This window comes from Homo sapiens, chromosome 10, assembly GCF_000001405.40.
Source record: "Homo sapiens chromosome 10, GRCh38.p14 Primary Assembly".
Lineage (NCBI taxonomy): Eukaryota > Metazoa > Chordata > Mammalia > Primates > Hominidae > Homo > Homo sapiens.
The window spans coordinates 116,713,486-116,731,979 of record NC_000010.11 but is presented as its reverse complement, the minus strand read 5'-3'; the positions used below and the strand labels follow the sequence as shown (position 1 = coordinate 116,731,979).

At 50.0% G+C, this 18,494-nt stretch overlaps 1 protein-coding gene across 5 annotated transcripts in view; it reads left to right on the top strand.

Moving 5' to 3' along the window:
• The window catches only part of HSPA12A (heat shock protein family A (Hsp70) member 12A), a 179,556-nt gene that overhangs the window by 118,768 nt on the left and 42,294 nt on the right, over positions 1-18,494 (top strand). Inside the window, exon 1 of one of the 5 annotated variants that reach the window (XM_047424971.1) lies at positions 4,607-4,753. The exons of the other annotated variants lie outside the window; for them this stretch is intronic. The gene's annotated coding sequence lies outside the window, so the exon portion shown is untranslated. Of the gene's footprint in view, positions 1-4,606; positions 4,754-18,494 lie in introns of those variants that run through there. 5 annotated transcript variants of the gene reach the window in all.

Below are 18,494 nucleotides of genomic sequence, written 5' to 3'. Positions count from 1 at the left end.
CTTCCCATCTTTAGGGCAAATGTGGCCCCCAACAGTGACCCCCATGTTGAAATGAAAAGTTCTGATACACAGGAGGTCTGATGTCTGTCTGTTTTTCTTTCTTTTCCAAGTCCAGATTCCCAGACGAGGCCGCAAGATTCAGGTATGATCAGGACTTGACCCAGAAACAGTCAACCCTGGCCAGAAGAAGGGTTACCTTGCTGAGAGAGGGGGAGTTAGGGGGCACGATATCTGGTGGTCAGAGAGTAATTATCTCCCACAAATAGTTAACAGTACAGGTGTCTGAAGTAAGCCCTGTGTAGTAAAGAATTTCTAGGTGAGGGCTGTACAAGAATGGAGAAGAAAGAGACTACCTGTTAGAAATTTTGCTCTTTTGTTCTTTCTTAGAGAAAATTACTTTCTCCCATGTAAAAGTTTCATGCTACATGGGGTAACTGACCACTGGGTCCCTTGCATGACAATAATGCACAGACTCTTGGTGTGTTCTTCTGGTGTGTGATGGGCTGTAGTCAGTCCACATGGCCGCTGGCCCCATTTGAAGGGACCGTGGTCATCCGGTCTGGCAGTGGTTTCCCTGGGGCCGGCAGTTAGAGAGCAGCAGAAGGGGTGCATCATTCATCTGAGTCACTTGCTTCACTTTCCCCTCCTAGACCTGGCAGCTGGTTTAAGTTCTGGGCACCATCCCTGGATCCTCACTGTAAAGGTACCTTTTTGGCTTCCTCTGGCCAGAGAAGGTTTACTTACTCACAAGCAAAATTCGTTTTAAAACAGACATTCTGCCAAGAGCCAAGGCACAGAAAGATGGGCAACCAACATGGTCAGGGGCCCGTTCTGCCTAAGCACAAGGACCAACTCCGGGGCCCTCCAGGGGAGGCCAACTGGCCAGCCATGGAGGATGTAGCATTGACTGAGTCCACAAGGGCCCATGCAGCAGGACCCTGGGACAGACCATGGGAACGGGCTGCGCAGAGAAGCTGGCCCACGCCTGGGAGCACACTGATTCCTGCCTGTCCAAGCTCCTCGGCTTCTCCCCCAGGAAACGTTGGGAGGGTGGGAACCATGTTGGACCTGGTCTGGGAAAGCCAGGAGGGCCCGGTTCCTTCATAGCCAGGTTCCTAGGCTGTACAGAGGCCCTTGGAAGGCCCTTATCCCACAGCCTCAGTCTGTCTGTGTCAGACCAGCTATGGCGAGATGCTTTCCAAGATATTTTTGAGCGTCCATCCTTTGGCGTCAGCCTCTGGTAGTCTTGGCCAGCAAAGCTGCTAGAACAGGTTGGGGGTGGGCATGGCTGGGGAAGGAGTCACCCAGGGCCAGGCAGTCCCAGAGAAGAGAGCCCAGCAGATGGAATGGGGCATGAGGGACCCCAGGCCTCCTTTGTGGGCAGTAAGACAGAGTGGGCTTTAGAATAAGACAATACTTGGTTCAGATCGTGGTGCCACCTCTGACTAGCCGAGTGGCCTCAGCCAAGTCATTTAGCCTCTCTGGGCCTCAGTTAAGTATAAAATAGCACTCAACACCCCATGCCTGGGAGCTAGTGTTGGATGGGCACTTGGTAGAGTGAAACGGGCTTAGCTCAGTTAGAAAGTCCTGGTTTGGGTCCTGGCTCCCATACCTGGCCTTGACCTCACCAAGGTATTCAACCTCTCTAGATCCCCGTGACCTTATCTCAAAAGTATGGGTCACAGCACTTCACGGGTTGGTTCTGAGAATTAGATGAGGTCATGTATATAAAGAATTTGTCCTACACATAAAACATGTGCAGTCAATGTTAGGCATCATCATCATCATTATTATTTTGAGATGGAGTCTCGCTTTGTCACCCGGGCTGGAGTGCAGTGGCACCATCTCAGCTTACTGCAACCTCTGCCTCCAGGGTTCAAGCGATTCTTCTGCCTCACCCTCCCAAGTAGCTGGGATTATAGGTGCCTGCTATCATGCCCAGCTAATTTTTGTATATTTAGTAGAGATGAGGTTTCACCATGTTGGCCTGCTTTGGCCTCCCAAAGTGCTGGGATTACAGGCGTAAGCCACCACGCCTGGCCATCTTTATTATTCAAAACACCCACTGGGCACACACGAGGTACTCAGAAAGGTTGATATTAGGGAGTGGAGCTGGCTGGGAGATTTCGTTAAAGTTTAGTCTATTGAGGTCTAAGTTACATAAGGTAAGACTCACACTTTTTGGGTGTACAGTTCCATGAGTTTTGACAAATGTAGATACAGTTGGCCCTTGAACAACATGGCCTTGAATTGCACAGGTCCACTTATCCATGGATTTTTTTCAATACATATATTGGAACATTTTCTGGAGATTTGTGACAATTTACTGCATAGCCTAGAAATATTGAAAAAAATCAAGAATTTAGGTATTTCGTGAATGCATAAAATAATGTGTTAATTGACTGTTTATGTTATTGTTAAGGCTTCTGATCAACAGTAGGCTATTTGTAGTTAAGTTTTGGGGGGGTCAAAAGTTATATGTGGACTTTTAACTGTGCAGGGGGTGGGTGCCCCTAACCCTCATGTCGTTCAAAGGTCAACTGTAGTCATGTAACCACCATGTCAGTGCAGAGTATTTCCAACTCGGGAGGATTTTGTCATTCAGGATCCTCTGGTTTGCAGAAAGCCCCACCTCCGATGGTGGGGGATCTCAAGGCCTGGACCGTGCCCCAAAGGGAGGGACTTTCAGGGTCGACCCAATGATAGCATCCCAGCCTGTACGCTGGGGCTCTTACCAGTCAGGGGTTGGGGGTGGGCTCCTGTGACCTTCCCGGCGTGCTCCTCATTGGCTCTGGAGAAGGGAGAGATGGAGTCTGCAGGGTGCCCTTTGTCAGTCCTTGGGCTGGGCAATGCTGCCAGACAGAGGCTGAGAACCCACTAGAACTGAGAGCTGAGACACAACTCACATTTGTGTGAGGTACCCAGAGAGCCAGGACTAGTGAGGTTTGGCCTAAAATGAGGGTCCCATGTCTCTGCTTGCCATAGGCCGCCTGCAGGGATGTGTGAGGGCCCTTGCCCCGGGAGGCTTATTGCCTGGCACATAAGGAGCATTAAGATGGGCCCCTGGAGGGGGTGGTTTGAGGATCCTGGAAGGCTCCCCGCACCTGCCCCTGGTCACAGAGCCTGGAGTTCCACCATCAGGGAGTCTTACTCATGCAGGCTTGATTTGATGCCACATTCCTTTGGGTTAAACATTATTTCTTTAGTGTTCTCTTTTAAAAGAAAACTCCTGCTCTGCATATAAAACCCTTAGATAAGCAGTGGCACATAGACTTGAATTGTGTCTACCTCTCTGACCAATAGGGAAGAAGCTATCTAGAGAGCTGTGTTAAGAAGGATTCTGAGGTCACCTCTGGCTCAGTTGGAAAGAATGCGATAATCAGTGCTGTGTTTCCCAAATGCCCCACTTTGGACTAGTTCATGATGGCTTCTGATGCTTGAAGCCTACATTCGTCACTGAGGAAGTTACCCAGGTGACTGTGTACCAGGTTTGCACGAAGCTAAATTTTTCCATCTGAAAAACAATTTCTGATATTGTGCCCTTGTGGTAGCTTATTGAATTAATAACCTACAATAAATCCTGTCTCCAGGTACAGATGCTCCTTGACTTACGATGGAGTTACACCCTGATAAACCCATTGTAAGTTAAGAATATCATTAGTAGAAAATGCATTTAATCCACCTAACCTACAGACCATCCATGCCTAGCCTACCTTAAATATGCTCAGAACACTTACAAGGCTGGGCATAGTGGCTCACATCTGTAATCCCAGCACTTTAGGAGGCCCAGGTGGGTGGATCATGAGGTTAGGAGTTTGAGACCAGCCTGGCCAACATGGTGAAGTCCTGTCTCTACTAAAAATACAAAAATTGGCCAAGCGCGGTGGCTCATGCCTGTAATCCCAGTACTTTGGGAGGCCAAGGTGGGCAGATCATGAGGTCAGGAGTTCGAGACCAGCCTGGCCAACATGGTGAAACCCTGTCTCTACTAAAAATAGAAAAATTAGCTGGGTGCAGTGGCGACAGAGTGAGACTCTGTCCCCCCCCCAAAAAAATTAGTCGGGCATGGTGGTGCACACCTGTAATCCCAGCTACTCAGGAGGCTAAGATGGGAGAATCACTTAAACCCAGGAGGCCTAGGTTGCAGTGAGCTGAGATTGTGCCATTGCACCCCAGCCTGGGTGACATAGTAAGACTCTTTCCAAAAAACCAAAAAAAAAAAAAAAACCCACTTACATTAGCCTACCCTTGGACAAAATCATCTAACACAAAGCCTATTTTATAATAAAGTATCTCATGTAGTTTATTGAATACTGTACTGAAAGTAAAAAAACAAATGGTTGTTTGGCTACTCAAAGTATGGTTTCTACTAAATGTCTATCGCCTTTACACCATCATGAAGTTAAGTAATCATAAGTCAAATCATCCTCAGTTGGGGACGCCTGTACTCACACCCTTGTGTCATCTCCTCCTACCTGGACTCGGTGTAGCTACATGATTTGTTTTGGCCAATAGGACCTTGGCAAACAGGAAGCCAGCAGAGGCTTGAAAATTCCTGCCAGTGCATTGGAGCTTGCTCACTTGTCCTTTGCTATTTAGGAAGTCCAGGTCGTCCTGCTGGAGAGGCCACCTAGAGGGGAACTGAGGCCCCCGACCGACAGCCTAGGTGAACATGGACATGAATGAGCCTGTCTTGGCCCATCTAGTGCCAGATGAGCCTTGAGATGACTTTAGCTGTATGAGTTGACCCCAGGTGAGAAAAGCCCAAGTTGCGGAATTCTGTGCAAATTATTGTTATTTTAACCCACTAAATTTTGGAGTTAGAAATATTTGGATTACAATAGATAACTGATATAGTCCTATTTTTCTTTCTTTTATGAATTGAATATAGTAGCAGATGATAGGTTTAATAAAAGTGTTAATGTCTGTTCTTGGCAAAATCAAAATGTGATAACACTTTGTTAGATCCACAGTTTTTTGACGGGGGCAGATTTTACTTCTTAGAAAACATAAGTGTCTTGGAACCACTGAATTATGGAGATCTGAGGGAGGTGTTGCTGTGCAGTCTGGGGTCTTCATCCGTCATCGGCACGTTAGTTAGTGTGACTTAGATTATCACAGTGAGAAATAGTTAAGGCTGGAGGGTGGAGGTGTGGGAGCTCTCAGTGTTCTGTGAGCCAACTTCATTTTCCACATGAAGAAACAGAAACCTAGAAAGTGACAGTGAGCCCGACAGCACACCTGGAGGCAGTAGGGCCATGCCGTTCATCGGAGCAAGCCAAGACTGGCTGTCTGGATGGGATATTGGGGACGGGTAGAGGCTAAGGGTAGGAGTGTTGAGGGGCAGCCCCCTCTTGGGCCTGGTGGTTTGACAGGCACCCCCAGAAGGAACTGTGGGAAATTGGGGATGGTCTACCCAAGGACACCAACCCTTTGGGGAGCACTCACAAGGGGGGTGGTAGGTAGTGATATCAGAGACCCAGCAAGGACCTTTTACTGCTGGAGCTGGTGGGGTCCTGCCAGGCCTGTCTCGGGGGAGGCTGCTGGGAATGTGCGTATATAACTCTGAATGTGCATGCATGCGTGGGGAGAGAGGTAGAGTGAGCAGCTGAGATGGAGGAGGGAGACAGAGACAGAGGAAGGAATGGGCTGAGAGATGTTAGAAGCTTCTGGTAGGTCTTCCTTTGGGGTTCTTGCAGTTTATTCAAACTTGAACCCACAAAGTCATGGCTGGTCATGGGTGCAGATTCTGCCCCAACACCACACTCCTTGGGCCTTTGGTAAATATTCGGTAGTGAGATTGCAAAGTGCCACATGCCAGGGGACAGAGCCTGAGGCTCTTGGGAGGGAAGACCAGCCAGCAGGATAGGATTGGGTAGAGAACCATGGGAATGTCAGAATTCACCTTGTCCTGCTTGGCCTGTTGTGTGTGTGTGTGTGTGTGTGTGTGTGCGTGTGTGTGTGTGTCTAAACCTTGTATGTTGAATGAATATTCAGATAGAAAACTTGACTTCCTCACTGAGTTGCATTCTGTAAACGGAGTCCTATGCCGGTAGAGGCAGGCCTTAAGATAGCACGCAAGCATGCTGAATGCAGCTGGGGTCTTTTTAAGATTTCCTCCCAAAAATATTAGTGTGGCAGGGGTTGGGGGAGGGAAGAGCCACTTTCTAATGAAATATTAGCGATGAGGCAGAAATAAACTGCAAAACATAAACACAGAAGCCAAAAATACAGTCACCCTGGCAGTGGGATATCCCTCTCACCCTGTGACTCGCTGGGAGTAGTTCTGGGTTTTGTGTCCCAAGATAGCGCCCCTTCTGCCACCCCCACTCCTTCTGCCAGCAAAGCTCCTCAGTCCTCACATCTCTCCCCAGTCCCATACTCATAACTGATGTCTTCCTTGGAGAGAATTTGTGACCCCTTTCTATCTGTGAATATGCATACAATTCCTGGTGCCCCTCCCCTGCTCGCCTGCCCCTTCTCTCAGGGCCCCCAGCCTGTTGGGGGCCACGCAGTCCTCCCTTGCACACTGCCATGCCAGCTTCAGGCTTCTTTTCAAATCTGGCGACTGAACAACACTGGGATGCTGACCTGATGTTAACGATGGAAGCTCAGAGGTGGAGCTGGGTCCATGGAGGCCCAGCGTGAGGCCTGGGACCCTAGCAGAGTGCTCCCCACCCTACAGGGTGGCAGGATTTCTGTCTCAACACAGGCTGGCTCACTTCAGGCAGGGGACATTTGGGGAATTAAGTGTTGAAGCCAGAAGCAATTCCCATCAAGTGGAGCTCCTGGGCCCTGGAGGAGGCTAACAGGATGAGGCAGTTTGAGAGCCCCCTTCCAGGTGGGATCCCTGCACTGTGTTTTCTCTGTAAGGCAAAGTGGTATTGTGGGAACAGCTCAAGTCCTGGGTTCAAGTCTCAGCTCTGCTGTTCCTCGCTGTGAGGCTTTGGGCAGGTCTCAACACCTCCAGAGCTTCTGGTTCCTCCTCTGGGGGACGGAGCTGAGAAAAAGAGCCTGCACCACGGTGTTGCTGGGAGATTGCCAGGCAGAGAGTTGGCCTTCAGGGTCTGGGGGCCAGGTGGTCACTGGGAGCTGTTAGAGACTGGGGGTCCTGATTCAGGAGACTGAGGAGCAGGCAAAGACCTGGGGCAGGACCAGGGCTATGGCTGGGAGCAGCTGGAGTCTTGGGCTCTGGGCCGCAGGGCACCCAGTGAGGCCACAGGAAGGGACAGGAGGCGTCACTCACTTGTCTCCTCTGCCCCACACTGTCCTGGGAAGGTTTTGGGTAAAACCTGAGACAGCTTTGGTTCTCATGACAGAAGACTTACGTGTTTACTATAGGAAATATTATCCAAAGCAAGAAAGGAGGAAACAGCCAGGACCCCACACTCAGAGGCAGCCCCTGTTAACCCCTTGGTGGGGAGCCTTCCAGACTGGCCAGGCATATTGAGACAAAGCTCACAGAGGGGCTGTCACAAAATCCAGCACCATGGGGAAGGGGGTCTTCTCTTTTAGAAGAGGAGATGGAGACTCAAAAGGTCGTGAATCTTGGTGAAGACCCCATGGCCCTTAAGTGCCCTGACTTAGTCATTACACATTCTACACATGTAACAATGTTTCACAGGCACCTATAAATAGGTACAAATATAATATATCAGAAACATTTAAAAAACTAAAAATTTTTTTATAAAGTTTTAAAAAAAGATCCCATGGGGAGAGAGTGGTGGTGGCCTTCTGGTCTCTGAACCCAAAGTGCGTGTTCTCTCTTCATCTCTGCCCTGGAAATATCTGTGACACTCCCTTGTGGCCCTGCCTCCAGCCACAAGAAAGCCACTTTCAAGATCCAGTGGTTTCCTGACATCAAACAGCCAGGAAGCAAGATAGGCTGGGCCCTCCCCAGGTGCAGGGCTCTGTACAAGGTGCAGAAGGGCTGCTTGAAAAGTAGCCCAAACTCTGTCTTTCTAAAGTTCCGGCCAGTGCTGCCCGATACGCCTCTGTTGGGGCCATGCAGCCATGGATGGCTCAGCAGAGTGCTGTCTATGCCTGGGTACAGGTGACCCGCTGGCCTCAGCTACTGGGGTATGGTCAGGGGCCCTCAGGTGGGCATCGGGCAAGATGGTAGATGGGCCTGGAAGCACAGCCCTTCTCTTTGGAGGTGGCTCGGTACTGGAAGCAGCCGGGATCTAAGGAACGGGTGGAGAGGCTGACTGCAGGAGCAGGGCTGCTGGTCCCACCTGAGGCTTAGTGGTCCTCATGGTCCTCAGGCTGGAGATTCAGTTTTAAAACCTCAGCACGTGTGCGCAGTGGGTCTCAGGAATGAATGTCAGGGGAGGCCCCATGCTTCCTGAGCACCTAACCTCACCCAGCTCGGTGCTGGAGTTTCCTTATGGGTCACCCCTTGTGGTCTCCACAGCAGCCCTGTGAGAGAGACAGTTGTTAGCCTGGTACGTACTTGTGGAAACTGAGACCTGAGACAGAGTCCCGTCTGTGACAGAGCTGGTGAGGGTGGAACTGGGTGTTGCCCCAGAACCCAGCTCATTCGGGGTCCTCAGCCCCGTCCCCTGCCCCTGGAAGAACAGCTTGGGGCTGTGCCTATTTGGAGGGCAGCATGAGGGTCAAATCCTCCCACGTGAAGGTCAGCGGGCCCCTCTCTCCCTGCAGACAGCCAGTGCACAAGCCAGGCCTGAGGGATGGCAGATGGCTTTCCCAGATGGCAGAGGACACAGCCCAGCTGTGCAGGGGGTTGTATGAGGACAGGAATGATGGGGGGGCAATGGTTAGGGGGTAATGGAGGTATCTGATTGGTTAAACAGCTGCATCTGATATGAAGGGGATAGAGAGCTACAGTAGGTGCTTGAGGCTGGGAGTGACATGATGATGGTGGTGGTTGTGATGTGATCCAGTGGGACAGCCTGGAGGCAGTGACACCAGCTGGGAGAGTATAAGGCTCTCTGGGAAGCCCTTCATACCGCTCTGCTTTTGCCCTTGCTGTTCCTTTGGCCTGCTGTTTACTCCCTACCTTGTTCATTCAGCAAACTTGCCCTCCCGGGAGCCAGCCAAGCGTCACCTTCCTGGAGCTACCTTCCCCCACCCCCTTCAGGGATGTCAGTCTGTCCTAACACCCCTGTGGCACTTACCATGGTGTCTCATGAAGAGTCCATGTGCAAAATAGATTTTTACAGGGCTTTTAATTACAGTGTTTTTAATATTCAATTTAATATTTAAATTGAAATCATCCCACTATGTTTTGGCCTGAGATCTCATAGTTGGATTCTCATAAATTAAATACCCATGTGATGCATGTCCACAAGATAAGACTGATGACAGCTGGGTAGGGATGGGCAGAGGAGGGCTCAGGACAGGCACACCGAGTGTGGGGTGCAGGGGATGTTTCACATCGGCCCTGGTTGGTCCCACTGATGAACTTCTGGGTCATACCACCCGTCTTCCTGTTGCAGGGTCAGCTCCTGGAACTCTTCTTGTTCATTAACCCAGAATGTCCTCAGTGTGGTGTCTATGCCATTCAGGACCCTCCCAGACTAGGTCTGTGGAGAGAGAGCGAGAGGCAGGGAGACAAGGGTTGGTTGGAGCCGTGGGCTCGTGTGGGTGTCCCTAGCACGAGCTCCCACTTCTCCAAGTCCAAGGCATTCCTGTGGCCACCTCCCAGCAGTCAGCACCGTGGGCACAGACATCTTGGGCTCTGTGGGGGAGGATTGTGCGCCTGCTGGAAGTCAGGCTAGTCACCCTGCGCCTGACCCGTCTGGAGCATTCCTCTCTGCAGAGGAGATGGCCGCTGATTGATTGAGGTCCAGATGGAGCTGTTAAAGATAACAATGAAGTCAGAGAAGCTGCCCTGCCTAATGAAGCAGGCAGGCCTGCGCCTGGGAGGGACAGGTCTGTGGGGCAGCAGTAATGAAAAGCCGGAGACAGACCACCCTGGGTGCCCAAGACCTCCTCCCTTGCCTGAACTTGGGCGGTTGTCCATCTGAGCATGGTAACAAGGTATAAAGTCTCATTCCCCAGACCCAAGGACTGCAGAGACTGATGTGTCGGGGCTGGAACAAGGGGTCCTGGAAGGCCACGTGTGTTCACTCATTCTTTCATAACATGTACACACCAACGTGGGTGAGCAGCCATGATGATGAGTGTGAATATTATGGCAGCTGGGGCCATCTGCACGGCCTCCCAGGGCCCCTAAACACAGCATGTACATTATTTCCTGGAGTGTATATGTTTCTGAGGCCTGCTGTCCCCACCGCAGCTCAGTAAAGGGTTTGGAGAGACTCATATTTGCATTTCAGTGCCGGGGAGGGGAGGGATGGGGATTAGGATGGGTTTGTAGTTTGTTTGCTCTTACCCTGCTATAGTCACGCACACCCGGGTTTTCGTTTTGTTTTGTTTTGTTTTGTTTTTAGTGAGATTGACTTACTTTAAGTTCAAATTCAAAAGCTCATCAAAATTTAATGGTCAGTATTTTGCCTTCTCTGGGCCAGGAGCTGGCTTGGTACAATATAAAAAGGTGGGATAGAGGGGGCACCCTGCTGGCCTCATCACAGCTGCTTGGCCTCAGGTGGGACGCTCTGGGTGACCTCTGGATCCTGTGCTCTGTGGAGGAGACCTGGGAGATGCCTTTCTGTGACCTATGGATTCCTTGGGAAAAGACTTTGAGCAAATTCGGTCCCCAGGAGGAATTGTTCATTCAGTGTCTTGTGTATTTATCTCTCTTTACTGCTCTGAAGTTAGGGATTCAATTTCAACTGCTTTCAAGATTAGTTACCCTTGAAATTTTGCCATGCATACTTAACTTAGCAAAGTCTAAAGTTAATCAATAACTTAACCCAGTTTACTAATTCTTTTTGTACAAATGTAAGTCTGTCATTGAAGATTTTGTACTTACAAAGTAAGAAGTAATTAGGGATTTTAGACTTCAAAGGTCTTAAAAAGTCTCTGGAAGGACTTTGTCTCCTCTCTTCTGACATGGAAGTCTGCTGTCTGTGCTGCGGCTGCCTGTTCTGAGCAGAACATTTAGCCTCTGGGGGTGTCCCTGCATCCTGGGCAGTTCCCATCGTGCCTCCCCTCCAGGCTGCAGTGGGTGGTCCTGTCTCGTCCTCTCTCAGAGCTCCTTGGAGCCCCTTTTAGCATTGGCCTTCTCTTTTCCTTTATTTCCTGGAAGGAGCATTTTCTTAGGCAGGTTCCTGCACACCTCCCTGCCCAGGACCTGGCTAGCTGCAGCTGGCACGTGCAGACGGTCACACAGCAGAATGTTTTAATGCTGTGCAGTTTGCCCTCCTGTCAAAGGTGGGTCTGCAGAAGACTAGTTACAGCTGCAGGTTTTGAGGCTTTCACTAGCATTTATTCTGGCATAGCTTGAAACAGCTGATCTGTCAGGGGAAGCACCAGCAAGTCAGCCTGCAGCACCCCAGCAGGATGGCACGTCTGGCCTTGGGGAGGAGTGGGGCCATTCTACTCTGACTAGCCAGCTTCCCAGCATCTAGGGGAAGAGTGAAACTGCAGCTGTCTGACTAGGGCGCTGCCCCGGCCCTGTGCCTGCATTCTTACGTTGCCAAAGAGCAGGGTGTCTGGGAGAGGCCAGTGCCAGCTCTTGCCCCAGCCCCAGTTGGAGAGTCTGGAGTCCGCAGCTAGATTAACCACTGGATGGGTCCTGGGAGAAAGTTGTGGCCAACTCTACCAGGCACAGAGGTTGGAGGAGGGAGGGGGCGGTGCCCAGGGTGGGTGGCGGTGACTGAGTCCATTCCCAGAGACGAGGCTGGGCTCCTGAAGGCAGGGGGACAGGGGCACTTCTCCTTACAAGGCTGATTCTAGCAGCTCTTTGATTTGTTTTTAATTGAGATATAATTCACATATAAAACTCACCACATAAAATTCAGTGGTTTATAGTATTCACAAGATTGTGCAACCGTCACCACTATTAAATTCCCAAACATTTTTATCACCCTGGGAAGAAACTCCTATTCATTAGCACTTACTCCCTAGGTCCACTCCCAGTAAAGCCCTTTACTTTTTCACTGCTCTTTGCTGCAAGCTGCCAGCAGTACAGACTTGAGTGGGAGTCACAGAGTCCAGGAACCTCAGGGCTGGAATGTGGTAGAGACAAGGAGCTCAGGCACTGGTGACAGGGACTTGCTGGCTGTGTGGTTTTGGGAAGATGCTTAACCTCTCTGTGTTTTGGTTTTCTCTGCTGTTAAATATTTCCCACCTCATTGGGTTGTTTAATAAGATAATATGAGATGCCATCTAAGTAATAATAGGTACACTTGTTAAGACTTTTGCCTGCATTATTCTTATTTAATCCTCATTAATCCTGGGAAGTATGAGCTATTATTATCCCTATCTAATACATAAGGAAAACCAAGCACCAGAGAAGTTCAGTAATTTGTTCAAGATTGCATAACTAGGAATCAGTTTTTAGTTGCAAAGCATGGAAAACCTGATCCTGTCTTGTTTACAGAGAAGGGAAATTATGACCAGAATGGGAAGTCCAGGGGCCCAGCAGGCTGATTTGGCAGCTCATGGACCCCCTCAAGGACGGAGGGAGGTTCCTTTGGTGGTGGCTGCATCTGTGTGCTGGTGGCAAGGTGGCAGCTGCAGGTGTGGCCTCACGCCCCTGTGCGTCCACCCTCTTCTCAGGGTACTCACTTAAAAGGCGGGGTGTTTCCTCCCAGAAGCCCCAGGCCGACTTCCTCTCATGTCCCATCAGTCAGGACTGTGGGTCACAAACCCACTCCCACGTTCCTCATTGGCAGCGGGAGGAGGCTTGCCATGACTGGCTTAGATTACTTGGGATCTACCCCAAGTTATCAGGAGGGATCACACCCCAAATGTAAAAATTGGGGTTTAGTTAAGAAGCAGGAAATGGATTTTGAGTGGACACAGCAGTATCTTGGCAGCATCTATCAAGACCAGCAGGGACCTGAGCCGAGGTCTGAACCAGCCCTCTGAGGTCCATGGCCACTGCACTTCGGCACAGCTACTCAGCCTCTACAACACCCGGCATGTAGCAAGTATTCAGTGAATCTCGTGTCGATTCATAAATTCTAGTTCTCACCCCACACCCCTGAGTTTTTCTGACCTTCTGTTCCTCTTCTAGAACTCAGTTAAGTGGTTGCCTGGCCTCTGCTTGAGCTTTACTTGCGGGAAACTTAGTACCTTACCCAGCATTTTCTTCCCTTCTTTGACCATTAAGTGCCATGGCTACTTTTTGGGTGAATTAGAAAAAATCTGCTTTAGATGCAAAAATTCAAAAAAAGGGGCCCACTCTAGGCAGTGCAGCCCTTCAAGGCTTGGAAAGATGCCTTTGTGGTAAGAAAATAGCACACTTACCTCTGGGTAAGTGCAGCCCTGCTTGGGAGGTGTCCCTCAAGGTTGGTGCCTTTGTGCAGTGCACAAGCCGTACAACTGTTTTGGGATGTCTCTTCCATTAAGGAATGCTGCAGAGGGGTTTTTAAATGTGCTCAAGCCTCTGCCCTCCTGGGCACTGGCAGAGAGTGGAAGGTTTGTGCCCGAGTTACCCAGGTTTGGAGGGCATGGTGGCCAAGGGTTCCCCTTCCTGCCTGGAGATGGTGTATCTCTCTCTCATGAGAGGGTTCAGCTGAAGAAGGATGAACCTTCACCTTCCCTACCCTTACCTCCTCTTCCCTCTCCCCTCCCCAGGGACAGGTGGTGAGTGTTTGGGAGGTGAAAGATTCTGCTCAAGGGGAAACCAACTGGCCTGGAATGGCCTCGGCCCTTTCTTTAGCCTCAGTCCAGGCAGCACTAGCTGTGCCGTGGCCTCTGAAGACTGACCTGTCACAAGGCTGTTCATGATGAAATTGGGGAAGTCTAAACCCAGGGCTTCCAGAGGCCCAGGCAGGTGGAATCTTGTCCTTGAAGCTGAAGAGAGTCTTGACAGTGACCCAGTGAGTTTTAGAATGGAGACTGAGCTTCCCTGTAGAATACAGGAAGGCTCAAGCTGTGGTCATATGGCCTCTCAAGTTCTTCTAGGTTATTCTGAAAGTTCCCTGGGGTGAGCAGACAGCTTGGGGGGCAAACTGGGGCCAGAGGGTCTCCTTTACCCCTGGCAGCACCGGCCCTCACGTTTCCTATCACTAAATTTTCCTGAAGGTTCCCTTTGCCAAGTTCCTGTCTGGTGGGAATTTTTAGCTTTGATTAACAAGCCTAGAGAAGCAAAACGTAAAGGAAATGTATTTGCTGACATTATGCAAAGGTGGGGGCTCTGCTTGTGTCATTGTGTAAGCACACGGTCGTTTTTTCAGCAGCAGTTGGAACGATTTTATAATGATGATGGTAACAATAATAATAAACAAAATAACATCCATAATGTATCGGGTGCTTGCCATGAGCCAGATTTTACAGATATAGATGCCCACCCAGTGGCATGCATCTAGGACGTGGTCATGGTGGGATTTGAGCTCAGGCTTTCCCGACTTTGAACTAGTACCTCTAACATCTCTCTTACCAATATGTGCCTCTCCTACCTGGATCTTCGGATTTGAGAGAGAATTATGGTTTTCGAAATAGAGCTTTGCAGACCAAAGAATACGCCACACAGTCTCATGAGCCTGCAGACAGAGACAGCCAGGAGCTGCCCTGTGATGGTGACTCCTGACTTCCTCCAGCTATTTGCTCGTCTGTGAAATGGGGATTTACATTCACACCTGTCTCGTAGTTAGAGATGATGCCTTAGTGGCACTGGGAACGTGCAGGTGTGCAGGCTTGGAGTCAGAGAGCTCTGAGTCTGCCTGGGTGGCATCCTGACTAAGGATGCGGGCTTCTTTCTTACCCTTCTAGGCTTCATTTTGTCACCTACAGAATGGGAATAATGATAGTAATTCACAGCAACCTTCCTTACAGGGCAGGTCCCCATGAGATACACCTGTAAGGCTCTTAGCTTGCATGAAATACACATGCAGTGAGTGCTGACTATGATAGGTTTCCCAATAGAGTGCTGGGTTTGTATATTTCTAGTGGTTTTGAATTAATAATTTGAGTTTGAATAAGCTTGCAAAAGAGCCTAAAAGTAAACAAAAAAACGCATGAATATCTGACCCCATGAAGGAATTTGGAAAATGGTGGGTGGAGGGTGGTGTTTATTTCAGAGTTTCACTGGTCCTGTGTTCATTGATAACAGAGTGACGGGGGCCCTGAGAATACCAATTCTCACTTCATGGAGGGAGAAGGGGGCACAGAGGGAGGTGAGGCAGTGTCCCCAGGCTCACAAACATCCACACCTCCACTCTCTTCATCCTCCTCAGGAGCTGTTTTGTTTTTCTTCTGTTCCTCTAAGAGCAGCAGCCGAAGAGCCAACTCTGGCTTTGCTCCTATTCCAAAGCCGTCCTGATTCTAGGAGACATGCCCCTTGGCCTGCAGCCCACGTATGACTGCTTGGCCTGCCACCTCCACTCATCCCAATGCTAAGGCCAACCTGGGGCCTGAGCAGAAAACCCAGTGCCCTTGTCCCCAACAGGAGCACATGCATGCACACACACACATACACACCCCCCACCCCACCCCCCAACACACACCTGCCTTTCGGGAGGACTCAGAGCTTGTACAAAGGGTCACAGGGTGGCATCTAACATCAGCATTTCAGCTCACCATTCCTGTCTGGGGTGAGAACCACAGGAAGATGCCAAGGCTGTTACATCTTGCCCCTCCCATATGGCATTGGGATCTCAGCAAGTCTGAAGGACAAAGCAAAATGGGCATGTCAGGGTCCTTTAAGTGATCCTGCCTCTCTGCAGGGGCATACCCTACTGTTTCTCAGACATGGAGGGGCCCAGCAGGGGATGGAGGATACCCCCCACCCCCACCTCCTCTGAGGCCCTGGGTTCACAGAGCGGCTACAAAGTCTAGGAGCTGTCAGCTGATGACCAGAGGGCCCTGTACCTGAGATCTGGCTGGCGCCCATCCCAGAGTGGGAGCTGCTCAGCTGGTGGCTGGACATCTGTTTTGTCATCTGCGAGGGGGCCAGTGGGTGCCTGCTGAAATTCTGACTGCTCTAAGGGCTATTTGGTCTACTGGGCCGACCAGCCTCAGCCCCAGAGAAGCCTGATGTTTGGGAGCCCTTCACCCACCCTGAGACCCAGGTCCAAAACCTTCCCAAGCTTTCAGAGTCCACATTTGTAGGTTTCAGTGAACTCGTATCCTTATTGGTTTGTTCATTCATTTGCCAAATATGTGTGGAGCACCTACCATGTATGGGCCAGGTGCTCTGATGGACAGCGGAAGAAAAACATTGACCTGCCGTCCGGGAGCTTCCATGTAACTGGCACATTCAAATCACAATTATTTTATTATGGAAAGTTTTAAACATACAAAAGCAGAGCAAATATTATACTGAAGCCTCATGAATCTGTCACCAGTTTTAGTCATTATCAACTTGTGGCCAACCTTGTTTAATCCCTGCCCCTTCCCTCTCCTGCTATTCTGGTACAAATCCCAGAAATGCTATTGTTTTGTCTGTACATTTGAGAATGTATCCCTAGAGGACAAGGGCTCTTTTAAAAATTATGTAACTGTACTATTAATAATAATCCCTTAGCATTACCAATGTCTGGTCAGCATTTACGTTTCTAATTGGCTCATAAATGTAACATTTTTGGATTGTTTGAGTTAGGATCCACTAAAGGTCCATCCACTGCATTTACTGGAGTTGATGTGTGTTTTAAGTCTCTTCTAAGCTGTCGCAGTTGGTCTCCGGGGCAGTCAGGATAGCCTGGGAAATTATCAGTGCAAATTGTCAGCCAGCCTCAGACCTACTGGATGAGAAACTCTGGGGGTGAGACCATTAATCTGTGTTTTAACAAGCCTCGGGGGTTCTGATGCACAGCAGAGCTGAGACCTTCTAGTCCATAGGTTTGCCCTCCTTTCCTGTAGATTTTCCTTGTGATTATCTTTAGGAGAAACCTGTCTCTCTTGTCGAGTTTCCCCCATCTGGGTTTTCCAGTTGATCACCAGGAACTGATGCACAAGTTCTTCTCTCATCTGCACCGGGGGAGCTGAGAAGGCTCTTCTCTCTTAAAAGAGGAGGCTGACTTTTAGAGGTGGAGGTCCCTGAAGGGTGATGCAGAATTTGCCTGCTGTAGAAGCAGGATGCACGCTAGGCAGGGGAACAGCATGTGCAGTGCCCAGAGGCTGAATCAAGCACAGATGTTCCAAGGCCTGTGGATAGGTTTGGTATGGCCAGGGATGTGGGGCAGTAGAGAGAGAAGAGACTGCAGAGGAAGGTGGGGTGGACTTAGAAGAGCCTGGGGTCAGTAGTGTGCTGGACTTTATTGCATGGGAAATGGGCATCAGGGGAAGACCCTGACAAGGTTGAGTTAGGTGAGCAGACCTTGATTTTGACCAGATGGCTTTCTCTGTATCTGCAGTCATGGCTTTAACTGCAGGGTGAGTGTGTCTGGGGGAGGGGGCAGGCCCAGGACAGGGAGACTGAAAGTTCAGGAGGATCTGGACCAAGGCTGTAGTGGTGACTTAGCAGAGGAGCCAGCGAATGCAAGAGATGCTAATTAGAAGGAGTGATAGGGCTTGGGGGTAGAATGAGAAAGGAGGAAGTCTAGGGACTCTTCCATCTGGGAGCAGTGGTGGTTTTACTGGCAAAAGGGGTATCTGAGGAGAGAGGCAGACCTGGGTGGTTTGAGAGCTGATCCCACATTGTTGGAGGTCACTCAGCATAGCATGTATGTTACTAATATCCAACTCAAGAGAGTTGATGCCTCAGTTGGGAAAGAACTCCCTGACACTCTTAGTCTGTGGATAGTCACTGAGTCCACTTTTGGGTACACATAAAAAGTCCATCCATTCATCCATCCATCCACTCATCTATCCATCCATCCATCTATCCACTTACCAACCCATCCATCCGTCCATCCATCCACTCACCCACCCACCCACCTATCCATCCATCCACCCACCATCCACCCACCCATCCATCCATCCATCCATCTATCCATCCATCCATCCATCCAACATTGAGTGCTTGTGACATGTCAAGAGCTAAGGAATTAGAGATGAAGTAAGACTTGGCCCTACCCCAACAAGCAGAGTCCATGGGAGAGAAGCCAGGAGGACAGAAACATCTTAGTACCATGTGTAGGGTGATCTGGTAGAGCCTCTTCAAATGCTGGATGCTGGAGGGAAGGGCTGTAAGGTTGAGGAGTGTAATTCATGAAAATTAGTAGTAAAACTGTTGGTCAAGCAAGTGTGTCTTCACCTCTCCCAGCAGTTGCCTGGACATGTATAGACACAATTGGAGGCCCACGGACCAATGCATGAACCTGCAGTTAGGAGAGAGACTGTGAACCACCCCTGTTGACAGTTTGGGATTGCAGGGACTCGGGGCTTTTCCTGTCTTGGGAAACTCAGCTGCCCCAGTTCGCTCTCCCTGCGACATTTCATCTCTTGGACTATTCAGGGAGGTAGGAGGGGTAACAAGAAGTTGCTACCCCGTGTCAGGATGGGCCTGATGCTGCCCC